The 16,172-nt window shown below is 39.2% G+C and overlaps 1 long non-coding RNA gene across 1 annotated transcript in view; it reads left to right on the top strand.

Annotated features, from left to right (window-relative positions):
- STXBP5-AS1 (STXBP5 antisense RNA 1) overlaps positions 1–12,861 on the top strand; it is a 363,227-nt gene extending 350,366 nt beyond the window's left edge. Inside the window, exons 9-11 of the long non-coding RNA NR_034115.1 lie at positions 2,918–3,424; positions 9,537–9,930; positions 11,440–12,861. This is a non-coding gene — a long non-coding RNA (STXBP5 antisense RNA 1). The remainder of the gene's footprint in view (positions 1–2,917; positions 3,425–9,536; positions 9,931–11,439) is intronic.
- The last annotated feature ends 3,311 nt before the right edge of the window (positions 12,862–16,172 follow it).

Here is a 16,172-nt window from a genome sequence, read left to right as displayed (position 1 = left end):
TTCCACTGTTATAATACAAATTCTGGATGCTCATATGATGCCAAGCTTCTTCCTTCCCCTAGCATTGGCCTAACCAGGCCCAAGAGACTGGCGGGGAGGTTGGAGGCACAGTTGGCTTTCTCCCTACTTCCTGGCTACACATCTTTCCTAACTTGATGGTTACTTTATAAAAATTCCTCTGGAATTAGGTCCAGAGTGACAGATGAATCTGGAGAAAGCGTGCAGGGTTAGAGGCTGGTACACATGTCATCCAGTGCTGGTGCCCTCTGGCCAACTAGATGGTCAAAGCTCTCCTGTCGGATGTTGGTTGTGAATCTTTGGTGGTCCTTGACCTGCAGCTCCCTGGAAGTGGGAAAGGTGTGTTGCCTGTCATCTGGCAGTAGGGTGTGATGGCCAGCTCAGCCATTGGACTCACAGTACTCCACCCATCTCTTAACAGTTGCTATGGACTACATGTCTATTTTCCCCAAGAATCATATATGGAAGCCTAAATCTCCCCAGTATGATGGTATCTGCAGGTGGGGCTTTGGGGAATAAATTAGGTCATGAAGGTACAGTCCTCATGAATGGGATTAGTGCCCTCATAAAAGAGATGAATGAATGAATGAAGAAAATGTGCAAGCACGCTCTCTCTCTCCATATATATGTATATAATGCATTGTATATATGTAACAGACTATTATTCGGCCTTAAAAAAGAAGAAAACCCTGACATTTGATGACATGGATGAACCTGGAAAATATGCTAAGTAAAAGAAACAGAAAGACAAAAACTGTATGGTATCATTCATACATTGAATCTAAAAAAGTCAAACTTACAGAAACAGAAAGCAGAAGGGTGGTTGCCAGGAATGCTGGGGGTCTGGAGGAAATGAGGAGATGTCTGTTAAAGGGTACACATTTTTTTCAGTTATAAGATGAATAAGTTCTAGAGGTCTAATGTGTACCATGGTGACTATAGTTAATATATAATTGAAATTTTCTAAGAAAGTAGATCTTAAGTATTCTCATCACAAATTATAAAAAGGTAACCAAGAGAGGTGATGGATATGTTAATTCAGTTCATTGTGACAATCACTTGGTGATGTGGTTTGGATCTGTATCCCCACGAAATCTCAGGTTGAATTGTGGTTCCCAGTGTTAGAGGTGGAACCTGGTGGGAGTAATTGGATCATGGGGGCAGATTCTCATGGATGGTTTGGCACCATCCCCTTGGTGCTGTTCTTGTGGTGGTGTATTAGTCTGTTCTCATGCTGCTAATAAAGACATGCCAGAGACTGGGTAATTTATAAAGGAAAGAGGTTTAATCGACCCACAGTTCCACATGGCTGGGGAGGTCTCACAATGATGGCAGAAGATGAGGGAAGAGCAAAGTCATGTCTTACATGGTAGCAGGACAGACAGTTGTGCAGGGGAACTTTCATTTATAAAACCATCTGATCATATGATACTTATTCACTACCCTGAGAACAGTATGGGGGAAACTGATGATCAGTTATCATCCCCATGATCAATTATCACCACCTGGCCCCACCCTTCATATGTAAGGATTATTATAATTCAAGGTGAGATTTGGGTGGGGACACAGCAAAACCATATCAGATGGTGAGTGAGTTCTCACGAGATCTGGCTGTTTAAAAGTGTGCAGCACTTCCCACCTCTGTCTCTCTCTTGCTCCTGCTCCTGCCATGTGGGTGCCTTGCTCCCCCTTTGCCTTCCACCATGACTGGAAGTTTCCTGAGGCTTCCCCAGCAGCAGAAGCTGCCATGCTTCCTGTACAGCCCACAGAACCATGAGTCAATTAAACTTCTTTTTTTCTATAAATTACCCAGTCTCAGTTATTTTTTTACAGCAATGAGAGAACGGACTAATACACTAGGCAACGTACATGTATGTCAAAACATCACGTTGTACACCTTAAATGTATACAATGTTTGTTTGCCAATGATAACTCAGTAAAGCTGGAAAAAATAAAATGCGAATGAAGTCAAATGAATAGAGAGGTAAAAGAAGTAGACACAAGAGAGCTTGCCTCCTTGCTCTCCCTCTCTGCTCTCCACCATGTGAGGATGCAATGACAAGATGGCCATCTGAAAACCAGAAAGCAGGTCCTCACCACATCTGATCTTCTGACACCTCCATCATCTTGGTTTCTCAGCATCTAGAACTGGGAGAAATAAATTTCTGTGGTTCAAGCCACACAGTCTTTGTGGTATTTTGTTACAGCCGCCCAAGCTGACTAAGATGGGGTCATATTGTGGCTCCAGGCATTTCCTATGAGTGAGTCTTTTTTCCAGATGATGTCAAGTCAGCACCTCACAGTGTTCACACTTCTGAAAATCTCTGTCCTTTTCCCTGCTGAGGTGAGAGGAAACTTGCTCTTTAATGCCTCTCATTCTGCTATGTGGGGCTTGTGCACATGACCTCTCACCTTTTGACTTTTCAGATATCTCTCAGAATTTAGTCCACATGGTCTCCATATTCCAGAACATACAGGCCAAACTCTCTCAAGAGTTTCCTTCAAACCCCTCTCACTTGGGCTTAAGCAGCGGGGTGGGGGCAAACACACTCATCCCTTTCCCTATGTTGCAAGGATTCAGACAACACAAAAACTAACTTCAGATAAGTTCTCTGGACCTTTCCACCTAATGTCTCATACAAGTTGCAAGTGATGCCTAGCACCTCACTTTAGAATATCAAGGGTGCTTGGCACCTGCTGTAATTTAAAAATATTTCTATAACTTTTTTATACTCTTCCCTTTAAGAAGTCGAGTCTAATTCCCTTAACTTTGAGTATAGACTGGTCTTGGTAAATTGCTTTTAGCAAACAGAATACAAAGGAAATGATGTATGAGACTTCTAAAATTAGCTGGTAAAAGAACTTTTGACTTCTTGCTTGCTCTCTTTTTCTATTTTAGATCATTTGCTCCAGAAGAAGCTGGTTGCCATGTCTTGAGGACAGTAAACCCTCTGGGGAGGTTCCTGTGGTAAGGAACAAGGGCTCCTGGCAATAGCCTCTGAGTGAGCCACCTTGAAAATGGATTGTCCAGCCCCAGTCAAGCTTTCAGATGACTGTAGCTCCTGCCAATGTCTTCACCACAACCTCATGAGATCCCAAGCTACAACCACTCAGTTAAGTTATGCCAAAATTCCTGATTCACAGAAATTGACATACAGGAGAGGTCACAGTTAAGATCTTGATGTTCTATCTTGACCCATAATATAGGAACTTCATCTTTTGGGAAGCACCAGGGAGAGCTGCCTGTGCCTGGCAGAAGCTGCCCATGCCCCACTGATACCCCACAGTACTTCCTGTTCTGCTTAGTACTCCTGCTTCTTTCTACAAACAACTGTGATTCTCTACCTGGGAGCTTCCTCTGGCCACAGGAGCCTGCTCACCTGATTGGGACACCCTAGCAGTACTGGTGAGTTATAGCTTCCAGGAGCAGCTCTCTTCCAGCAAAGGAAAGGGTTGGCTGAACAGTACTTCAGCTGCCTCTGCTAGTGTGTGGGGCAATGTTAAGACATGCTCCACACAGTAATGCAGGGGTCCCAGCAAGGTGGAGCCCCACTTGTCCACAGTAGTAACTTGCCAGTAGATGCCTGCATTGACTTTCTTCCCTGCTGTGCCTTTCTTTCCATTCCCCTGCCAGTGCTTCCTGGAATCATCTCCCTCATCAATCATTTGTTCCTAAATTCTGTCTGAGTCTGTTTCTGAGGAAACCCAACCTGAGTCATCGTCCCTCTTCTCCCCTCCTCACATTCTCTTCACTGGGGGAGGATGGATTGAGTTGACTGGCAAATTCGGGAGAAGGAGTTTGCATCGGAGTGCGTGACTCAGCTGAGGCTGGGCTCTGTTTCTTCAGAATGAAGTGCATTCAGATTCGATGTGTATCCTGTCTCTGGGAAGCCCCATGCTCTGCTCATCTTAGCATGATTACTAAGGTACACTCTGCCCTTGCAAGGGGAAGGCCCGAGATTTGCTGCTGGCAGGCTCAGTGGGAGTTGGATGTTTTATGTAACCTGATTGTGGATATAGATCAATTCATGCTTTTCAATTCAGTCCTCTCTCTAATAAACTGCTGTCATAAGCCCCATTTGTCTAATTATTATCTATTAAGTTGTTTTAGTGCTCAGTAAAGAACAGAGTTTTTTTTTTCATTTTGTGACCTAAAACTTCATTTACATGTAAAACATAGGAGGAACGAAAAGTCTAATGTATAAGCAATTTCAAATGACCTACCAAATTCATTGTAGAACATTATGCCAATTAGCAGTTTTTTGTTTATAAAAGGAAAACTCAATAATCTTCAGTAAAGGATCATGTTAACTGTCTCAGGTAACCAAGTCCTATAAAAAACTGAAAGGGGAAAATCATTAACATGGCAAGAAACAAGTGTGTAAGTCATGCACATTTGCATCTAATGCTGTTAGCAGAACCCTGGTTCATATAGTTCTGGGATGATGTCAGGATTTTTAGCTTCATGAAATGAAACATTTCTTTTCTTGGTGTGAATTTTCTTTTTTTTCCGCACAAAGAAAAGTCCTTAGTCACAAGCTTCTGAGTATTTTTTAGTCAAGATGGTGTTTAGCATTTACTTTTTAGCTGCATTAAGCTAAATTCTACTGCACTCCCACACGTCCCCACTACCATTTCCTCCCAATCACCAAATAATTAGAAATGATAGATAAATGGATAAGAAGTTTATTAAAATAAAAAGAATGTTTCCCACTCAAAATTTAGATTTTCTTTGAAAGAAATGGAACAGAAACGCACAGTAGAAACTAGAGCGGAATCTGTGGACATATTTTCTTAGAGGAACAGAAACAAGCATTTGAGTTCTGTGGCATGATAGAGACCAAACACACCCTGCAGAGGTAGGGAATATAAGCCAAAGTCATTGTCCCAAGTTACAGGCTGGGGTGGAATTCTTCCTCCTATAAAAGACGCCTTCATGCGACATCTTATTAGGCTTAGACAGGAGCCTGCTCACTGTCGAGGGCTATGACTTATGGAAGCTCTAAGGTATGGAGGAAGAATGTGGTACAACCAGTAACTGGGACAAGCCACTTGCCCCCTCCAAGCACAGACCTCTGATCTCTCTGGTATAATTTCTGGATAGGAACACTAAGCTGACAGGATAAGACCTGGGACCACTTAGAAGGAAACTAAAACAGCAGTGCCACACGGGGAATAGTGAAGGCAGAGAGAGGGCGAAAGTGTTTACATTCAAGTTAAGCCTGCAAACTGAAGTTCTATGGCTATCAAGGAAAAATATTGTTAAGAAAGACATCCAACAAAATCAACATGGAAACCCGACAATTTATTGTCAATGAGATGCAAGTAATAGAACACTCTGAATAATACAAAAACGTAATTGTGGGCCAGGTGCGGTGGCCCACGCCTGTAATCCCAACACTTTGGGAGGCTGAAGCAGGCGGATCATCTGAGGTCAGGAGTTCCAGATCACCCTGGCCAATATTGTGAAGCCCCGTTTCTACTAAAATACAAAAATTAGCTGGGCGTGGTGGCACACGCCTGTAATCCTAGCTACTCGGGAGGTTGAGACAGGAGAATCACCTGAAACCAGGGGGCAGAGGTTGCAGTGAGCCAAGATTGCACCACTGCACTCCAGTCTGGGCAACAGAGCGAGACTCTGTCTCAAATAATAATCATAATTGTGTTTAATATATAGACATTGTTTTAAGAACTTTACATGTATCATATCATTTGATAAAAGCAATAGAACTATAAAGTAGCTACTATTACCTTCATCTCACAAATGGGGATACAGGACAGAGAAGTTAGGGAACTAATTCTAGGGCTCACAACTTGTCACTGTGAGTGCAGAAATAACATATGCAACAAGATCAAGAAGTTATAAACAAGAACAAGAAAGTATGAAATTAAAATATGAAATTGTGAAATTAATAGAAAGAATAATAATAGGTGCATATAGAAAAGAACTAATTGTAAATCATGTAAATATTTTGAAATGATGGTCAAGAAAATATCCTCAAGAGAGGATAAACTTCAACTAGACATAACTGAAGGACAATTTAGCGAAGTAGTAACGAGTAATTTACTTAGAACTTGGCATGGCAAGCTAAATCAAATATATATGAAGCAGATGTTAACAGTCACGGTGAATAGAAAGAGGGGCTCCAACATGTATCTCAGAAATTCAGACACTAGACACTTGAGAGAATGCCTAAGAAATCACTATTTGAAGAGGTATCAGCTGAGAAATTTCCAGAAGCAAACAGAGATCTAATTTCTTAGATTAAAAGCACATACTGAGTGCTGATCAGGATAAACAGAAATGCTCTCACACCTATACATATTGGAATGAAACTGCAGAACAAGGTCGAAGGTAATATCTTAAAAGCAGCCAGAGAGAGAAAAAAATCATGTTATATACAAAACAATCAAGATTAGACTGACATCAGGCATCTTATCAGCAAAAATGGATGGCAAAAGTCAATGAAGTAATATCCTTAAAAGGCCATAGGAATTCAACCATCTCCCCAGAGTTCCCTTCGTGGTCAAACTCTCCTTCAAGGGTGATAAAAGGTCTGAGGAAGCTTGCAACTGTGGACTCTCACTGAAATCATTAGTGAAGGGTGTACTTATTAAATACTAATACAAGAAAAAAAGCCCAGAGGAAATGAGTAGAATTCCAGACAATGCAGTGAGCAGGGAAATTGTTTCAACATATCAGGAAAAGCTGAGCTGTCTGTATTCATGAGCCTTGCTAGTCTGTTAAAATGCTGATATATAACAGTCTTCAATTATACATCCCTGCAGGTTTTTCTGAGAGATGAAAGTCAGTTATTTTGGTTAAAATTTACAATAAAGACTGTATTAGGAACAATAGTGACAGAGAAATACAAGTGTGGTTATGCTACTGTTTTTAAGGAAAAAGAATAGTTTTGTACTAAAGTAGTGCCAATTTGTCCTAGAATATGAAAGAGCTTAGTGAAGAAAAAATCTTGGAAAGTAAATTTTACTTGCCTTGTTGTATAATACCTAAGTCAAAAAGAAGTCATAATAAAGTTTAAAATTTTGGCAAGCTAAAATTTTGGATGAACTAAATCTAATGAAATCTCTGCATATCAGCATACCTATAACATATATCTAAGTGAAAAAAATGATTTTGTAGGATATATAATGACACCGTATATATTTAGTTTTAAAACCATGGTAAACATGGGTAAAACTCATATAATCATCACTTAAAAATAGATTAATACCATCATCTCATATTTCTACTTTTATTCCCCGAGAAACTCTCTAATTCCTAAATGTAACCACTATTCTAATTTCTAACACTATGGTTTTGTTTTCAAATTTTATACTAATGAAATCATCCAATATGCATTCTGTGGTGTCTTCATTTTGTTCAGCATTAAATTCATGATATTAAAGTTTTTGGTTTGGGTTCAACTATCTTTGGAAGAAAATGCTATCTCACTATCTGTCTATCTGTCTGTCTGTCTGTCTGCCTATCAACTGTTTATTTTGAAGTCATATTTTATTAAATTAGCCAGGATACATGAAGCCTATCTTAATAACAAAAGGTTAATAACACACCTGGAAGAGCTCAGTGAATAAACACAAATTGTTTATTTTTCATTTATACAAAATCCTTGTAGGTCAGGTGAATCTTCACAGTTATTGGCCTCCAAATGTGATTTGGAGATCCACACTGCTCGGATCTCATAGTTCTGACATTTCAATATGTGGTCTCCACATTTGCTGCCAATGGAGAAGCAAAGTGATATGGTTTGGCTGTGTCGCCACTCAAATCTCATCTTTAATTGTAGTTCTCATAATCCCCACATGTTGTGGGAGGGACCCAGTGGAGATAATTGAATCATGGGGGTGGTTTCCCCCATGTTGTTCTCATGATGGTGAGTTAGTTCTCATGAGATCTGATGGTTTCATAAGAAGCTTCCCTGTTCACTGGGCACTTATTCTCCTTTCTGCTGCCATGTGAAGAAGGACATGTTTGCTTTCCCTTCCACTATGACTGTAAGTTTCCTGAGCCCTCCTAGCCATGCTGAACTGTGAGAGGTCTAAATCTCTTTCCTTTATAAATTACCCAGTCTTGCGTATGTCTGTATTAGCAGCATGAGAATGGACTAATACAGTAAATTGGCACCAGTAGAGTGGGGTGCTGCTGTAAAGATACCCTAAAATGTGGAAGTGATTTGGGAACTGGGTAACAGGCAGAGGTTGGAACAGTTGGGAGGGCTCAGAAGAAGACAGGAAAATGTGGGAAAGTTTGGAACTTCTTAGAGACTTGTTGAATGGCTTTGACCAAAATGCTGATAGTCATATGGACAATAAAGTCCAGGCTGAAGTGGTCTCGGATAGAGATGAGGAACTTGTTGAAAACTGAAGTAAAGGTGACTCTTGTTATGCTTTAGCAAAGAGACTCATGGCATTTTGCCCCTGCCCTAGAGATCTATGGAACTTTGAACTTGAGAGAGATGATTTAGGGTATCTGGCAGAAGAAATTTTTAAGCAGCAAAGCATTCAAGAGGAAGCAGAGCATAAAAGTTTGAAAAATTTGCTGGTAGACAATGCAGTAGTAAAGAAAAACCCATTTTCTGGGGAGAAATTCAAGCCAGCAGCAGAAATTTGCGTAAGTAACATGAAGCTAAACACTAATTGCCAGGACAATGGGGAAAATGTCTCCAGGGCATGCCAGAGACCTTCATGGCAGCCCCTTCCATCACAGGCCAAAAGGCCTAGGAGGGAAAAATGGTTTCCTGGGCCAGGTCCGGGGCCCCCTGCTATGTGCAGCCTGGGGACTTGGTGCCCTGCATCCCAGACACTCCAGCTGTGGCTAAAAGCGGCCAAGTTACAGCTTGTGCTGTGGCTTCAGAGGGTGTGGACCCCAAGCCTTGGCAGCTTACACATGGTGTTGGGCCTGTGGCTGCACAGAAGTCAAGAATTAAGCTTTGGAAACGTCCACCTAGATTTCTGAGGATGTATGGAAACACCTGCATGTCTAGGCAGATGTGTGCTGCCGGGGCAGAGCCCTCAAGGAGGACCTCTGCGAGGGCAGTATGGAAGGGAGATGTGGGATTGGAGCCCCCACACAGAGTCACCACTGGGGTACGGCCTAGTAGAGCTGTGAGAAGAGGGTCACTGTCTTCCAGATCCCAGAATGGTAGATCCATTGACAGCCTGCACTGTGCACCTAGAAAAGCCATAGACACTCAATGCCATTCTGAGACAGAAGCCAGGATGGGGAGCTATACCCTGTAAAGCCACAGGGGTGGAGCTGCCCAAGGCTGTGGGAGCCCATCTCTTGCATCAGCATACCCTGGATGTATGACCTGCAGTCAAAGGAAATCATTTTGGAACCTCAAGGTTTAATGACTGCCCTATTGGATTTCAGACTTGCATGGGGCATGTAGCCCCTTTGTTTTGGCCAATTTCTCCCATTTGGAATTTTGGTATTTACCCAATGCCTGTACCTTCACTGTATCTAGGAAGTAACTATCTTGCTTTTGATTTTACAGGCTCATAGATGGAAGGGACTTGCCTTGTCGCTGATGAGACTTTCGACTTGGACTTTTGAGTCAATGCTGGAATGAGTTAAGACTTTGGGGAACTGTTGGAAGGGTGTGATTGTGTTTTGAATTGTGAGGACATGAGATTTTGAAGAGGCTAATGGCAGCGTCCCCACCTAAATCTCTTCTTGAATTGTAGTTCCCATAATCCCCACGTGTCGTGGGGTGGAGCCGGTGGAGATAATTGAATCATGGGAACACTTTCCCCCATGCTGTTATTGTGATTGTGAATTCTCACGAGATCTGATGGTTGTATAAACGCCTTCCCTCTTCGCTGGGCACTCATTTTTCTCCTTCCTGCCACCATGTGAAGAAGGATATGCTTGCTTCTTGTGCCATGATTGTAAGTTTCCTGAGGCCTCCCCAGCCATGCTGAACTGTGAGTCAATTGAACCTCTTTCCTTTATAAATTACCTAGTCTTGGATATGTTTTTATTAGCAGTGTGAGACAGGACTAATACACAAAGGATTTGAAATCACAAAGGAGCTGTTTTCTGCTCCACCATGGAAGTCTCACATGCATCACATCTATTCATATCCATTTGCCACAACTAGACAAAAAGTCCTTTTTAAAATCTGCCTAGAGATCAGGAAGTATTATCTCTGGATGCCTAGGCAGGAGAGGTGAATCAGATATTGGTGGGCACTAGTGTGTTCTATGATACATAGCTTAATAAAAATAAGTTTCAGATAAATCTAAATATACATTAGAATACTGTAACCACAGTAGAAAAAAATATTGGCTCCTTTTTGTGATAAACTAATGATGGTAAATGCACCCTATTTAAGCAAGAAAAGAAACTGATCTGCCATAAAGAAAACAATGACATATTTAACTACAAAATATGTTACAAAATATTAATATCCCTAATGGACAAATGAGTTCCAATAAATGGATAACAAAAAACCAATAAGTCTGTAGAAAAATGGAGAAAATATATTTGCAGAATATTTATACAGGTGGTAATGAAATTGACAATGATGTTTATCATCAGCAGTAAACAGTAAAAAGTTTCACCCACCAGGACTATAGAAATTTTTCAAATGGATAATTTTCAGAATCAGCAAAGTTATAGAAAAGTAGGTACCAGTTGCACATACCATTGGAGGAAATGTAAAATATAGTTACCTTGTGGAAAGTAATCTGATGTAATATATTAAAATTTTATCCATGTATGTCCTATAATTCAGCAATTCCATGTTGGGGAATCCATACAAAGAAATACTTATACACATGCAGAAGGAGCTAAGTTTAAGAAAGCACACATTTCAGCGGGTTGTGGTGTCTCACCCCTGTAATCCCAGCACATTGGGAGGCCGAGGTTGGTGGATCACCTGAGGTCAGGAGTTTGAGACCAGCCTGGCCAACATGGTGAAACCCTGTCTCTACTAAAAATACAAAAAATTAGCTGGTGTGGCAGTGGGTGCCTGCAGCTACTCAGGAGGCTGAGGCAGGAGAATCGCTTGAACCTGGGAGGTGGAGGTTGCAGTGAGCTGAGATCACACCACTGCACTCCAGCCTGGGTGACAAGAGCGAAATTCCATCTCAAAAAAAAAAAAAAAAAGAAAGAAAGCACATATTTCAATATCATCTGCAATGGTATAAAATCATGCTAATTTAAAAATCCATTAATAAGGACTGGTTAAACAGTTTATAGTTTATTCACTATATGTAATTTTATAAGTTACCAAAATCATAGACTTACTGTAAAATGATTTTTCAATTAGTAACTTTTCACCATAACTTTTTTGGGGTAATTTATACCACTTTTTCGATGACTCTTCTTGTTTATGCTTTCACCTGAAAACATACAAACTAAATATAATCTAAAAATAATATTTTTTATTTTAGACAAGAACACACTCAGAAATTTTCTCAACACAGTTTCTATGCAGAGAAGAGATGTGGGACAGATTTGAACTGCTGTCATATTTGTATGAACCCAAGACATTTTCCAAGACCAAGAGGGATAAAGACAGCAATTTCTATGACTGGCATTTTACGTGCATGCACTGTTTCCAAGTGTTCTTGTGTTCTGTGCCTTAAACATTCTGTGTTGCAACTTTATGAATTGAATTAAAGATAATCCCAAGCCCCCAATTGTCTCAAAAAGTGAAAAAGTAAATGTTATAGAAAGAAAAGCGGGAAAAACTTTAAGCATGAAATAAAAGATGGGTTGTGATAAAAGAGGACTGAAGAAGGAAAAGGAATGAAAGGTTCTGCCATCCTTCATGGCAGCCCACTCCACTTGGTATGAGATACTGCTCCCTTGGCTGAAAGTTAACTGCTGTACTCCCTCCACTTTCTATAAATGACTCCCTGTGCCTTTCCTTCACCACACAACTCACACTCTCTTCCTTCCTAGTGAGTCCACTAAGGCTTCACTGCATTATTACATTTATTTCATTTAGGAAAAACTGACTTTATTTTCCTTCAAATTGTTTTTTATTGTTTATATGAGCTTGGTTTTATTGTCATTCTATTTTTCTCCATGAAAATAGAGAAAAATAGGGTCGAAAGGTTAGGTTGGGTGGAAAGGAATTATATTTTTTCTCACTAAAATTGATGTAAATATCGTTTTCAATTGAATGATTTTACACAGTGGCACAGTTTCAGGTATGTTGCTAAGCAGGAAAGTTGTTAACCAAAGCATGAATGTATTAAGGAGATGTATGCAGAATGACATGCAAGGTTATCTATGATTGCTGAGTGAGAAAGAGCAAGTTGCTGAGTATTATATAAGTATGATCTCACTTTTGTAAAAAAAAAAAAAAAAAAAGGCCTGGACTGATCTGAAATGACCCTATTAATAACAATTATGTCCAGGTCTGTATTGCATACTTGTCATTCATTACAGGATCTTGAGACACAATGCAAAGGATCACATCGCAGCTCTGTAACTTGTTAACTATAAGATTTTGAGTAACATAACACCTTACTCCTTAAAATTGCTTAAAAAAAATCTGAACATCAGGAATATTCTACTTCACAGGGTCGTTGTGATAATTAAATGTAGTAATCAATGACAATAGTGCCAGATACAGTAGATAGCCTACACTTTGCAGCTACTATTTCTATCTATCATCCATCTATTAATATATATCATCTATCTTTAACTTATCATCTATCTTGTTCCAGTTTTTTAAAATGAACATGTATTAACTTTGTAAAAAATTAAGGCTATAAGATGTGCTGAGCTTTTGGAATAGATTTTCCTGTACTATATATGACTGCCAGTGGGAGAATTTGAATAAATGTGTAAATTTGACTAAATCTGAATAAATGTTCATTTGACGGGACCATAGATTTGGGGGTCTAGCACTAGCTCTGTTTCTACACTCCTGCTGCTGCCTGATAGAGATGCCTCTCTTGTTTTGGACTCCAAGGTAAAGTAAGCCTTTTCATTTTGTGCATCATAATTTAAAATGACAAATGGAATCTATTTTTTTCTCCATCTAACGCATATATAGCTACCATTTATTAATTCTTGTTTCCTTCTTATGTTGCTCTTTGTTGTCATTTTTAAGGGAAGAAGAGACTGGGTCACGGGAATGCTTTAATGTGGAAACCCTGAATTCGTTCCACACATCTGCCTTCTGGGGACACAGGTAAATGAGGCCGAGTAGTGAAGTGGGAAGTTCCTGAAAATGTGACAGCAAGCCTCTGTCCACTGCCAGACCGAAGACAGGGAGGCGCTCATCGGCAAATTAATGGATGTTAAAGGGAAGCAAAATAACACCAAGATAGACTCATGAATTACCCAGTGGCAGCACTCTTTGGTAGAGTGCAGTCTAATTAAGTCTTTGATAGAGTGCAGTCTAATTAAGTATTCAAAGAGCACAGAGTGAACAGACCTTCCTTCCTTGAGATATAAGCATGTGTATGTCTTCTAGCAATTGTGAGGAGGAGATGGATAGAAGTGAAAAGTAAAAGGAAGAATATGGGAGAACTAAGGGGAGGATATTGAGTCACTGCAGATTTATACAAACAGCTCTATTTTCTGTCTTGCTAATGAAAAAATTTACATAATGAAATTTAATTTTGCTGGGAATTGAAGTAAATTAATTTGCCACATCAAACTTTTTTCTTCCTTGGGTTTCTTTGGTTTTAAGTCTTTACAGATTATGATTATTCTGGGTACTCCATTACTCAGCATTGCATCTGAGGCCTGGGAATCATTTCACACCTCAACAGATCTTTAAATGTAGCATCAAGCGATTTCATAATTAACTTGTCTTCACTCTGTGTCTTAACACACAAAATTCCAGCCAAATTAAAGTGTAACAGATGGGAAAAGTCACTTGGAAAGGAATGCTAATTAAGTAGTTTTCATTTCTCTTTGGAAGCCAGGATTAATATACTGATTTCAAATAATTGAGGATGTGTTTCAAATGCTTGGTATGTGGGTTGAGAATTCAAGGAGCAATCAGTGCTTCTTTTGAGCCTTTAAGGAAAATCTCGCCATTCAAAGTGTTTCTTTATCATCCTCATGGTTTATCATCACCCTGCTAAGCTCTTGTTTGTGCCTTGAACTTCTCATTGTGAGAGCAGCGGAGACTGCTGACAACCTTGTGCTTGCTATAATTCAATTCATACCAAGGGATAAAGCAAGCAAAACATAGCTGGTCAGGGCAAATCTCAATAGAGCCCAAGCCCCTCAGGGAGAGAGCCAGTCAGTATTCTGCTGTAGTATAATGTCACAGCCAGGATACTGACATTGATACAATCCTTCCATAATACTCAGATTTCCATAGTTTTAGTTGAACTCATTTGTGTGAGTTTATTTAGCTCAATACAATTTTATCATCTAGGTAGGTTTGTGTATCCACCACCACAGTCAATATACTGTGCACTTCCAACACGACGAGGGTACCTTGTGTGGACCTTTATGACTAAACTACACACCTTCTTCCAAACCCTGGTAACCACTAATCTGCCCTCCATTTCTAAAATTTTGTCATTTCAACAATGTTATATAAATTGGGTGATACATTCTATAACCCTTTGTGATTGGCTTTTTTCACTCAAAATAATTCCTAGAAGATTTATCCAACTTGTGGCATGTATCAATAGTTCATCCCATTTCATTGCTGAGTACTATTCCAAGTTGTGTGTGTATGTGTCTATGTATCTATCTCCATCCATCTATCCATCCATCCATCCATCCATCCATCCATCCATCCATCCATCCACATACATATGTACACTACAGTTTGTTTAGTCATTTAACTATTGAAATACATTGGAGGTGATTCTTATTTTGGGCAATTACAAATAAAGCAACTATGAACATTCTTGTAAAAGTGTTTGTGAGAACATAAGTTTTTATTTCTCTGGGATAAGTACCCAAATGTTCAATTACTGGGTCATCTGGTAGTTGTAGGCTTATTTTTTTTTAAAGAACTACCAAATTGTTTTTCAGACTGGTTTTACCATTTCATATTACTACCATCAATATATGAATGATTTAGCTTCTTTGTGTCCTCACAGCATTTGGTATTGTCGCTATATTTTATTTTAGACCTTCTGACAGGTATGTAATGATATCACATTGTGATTTAAATGTGCATTTCCCTAATTGCTAATGATGATGACCATCTTTTTTGGGCTTACCATCCCATATCTTCTTCAGTAACATCTGTTCATGTCATTTGCCAATTTTCTAATTGTATTGATTGTTGTTGAGTTTTGAGAATTCTTTGTGTATTCTAGATACTAGTCCTTTGTCAGATATGTAGTTTGCAAATATTTTCTCCTAGTGCGGCTTGACTTTTCATCCTCTCCACATGTTTCACAGAGCAAATTTTTAATTATGATGATGCCCAATTCATTGATATTTTTCCTTTTATGAATTGTGATTTTTGGTATCAAATCTAAGAATCATGTCTAATCCAAATACTATATTCTATGTTTTTTCTAAAAGTTTTGTAGTTTTACAAGTTCAGTCTATGATCCATTTTGAGTTAAATATTGTCTAAATTGTGAGGTTTAGGTTGAGGTTATTTTCTCTTTTTATTTTTTCCCATGGATGTTCACTTTTTCTGGAACCATTTACTGAAAGGCTATTTTTCCTCCATTGAAATGGCTTTGTATCTTTGTCAAAAATTAATTGGGCATATTTGTGTGGGTATATTTCTGGATTTACTATTCTGTTCCATTGATCCATTGTCTATCATTCTGCCAATAGTCCACTGTTTTGATTGTAATAGCTAGATGATAAGTCTTAATGTTGGGTAGAGTACTCCCCCCTACTTTATTGTCCTTTATCAGTATGGCTTTAGATATTCTAGGGTTTGTGCCTTCCCACATAAATTTTAAAATAAGCTGGTGTGTATCTATAGAAAAACTTAGGAGAAATTTTAAGTGTTTATCTTCAAATTATCTTCAAACTCTAGATTAGACTGGGGAGAACTGACATCTTTTCTGAGTCCTCCAATTTATAAACAGTGTGTCTTTTCATTTTGTTGGATCTTCTTTAATTTCTTTTATCATCAATTTATAAATTTCAGCATACAGGTCCTGTACATAATTTGCTAAAGATACTTCTAAGTATTTTATTTTCTGTGGAATGGATTATAAATTGT

Source organism: Homo sapiens, chromosome 6, assembly GCF_000001405.40.
Source record: "Homo sapiens chromosome 6, GRCh38.p14 Primary Assembly".
Classification (NCBI taxonomy): Eukaryota; Metazoa; Chordata; class Mammalia; order Primates; family Hominidae; genus Homo; species Homo sapiens.
The sequence above is the reverse complement of the archived record's forward strand: the minus strand, read 5'-3'. Positions and strand labels throughout refer to the sequence as shown.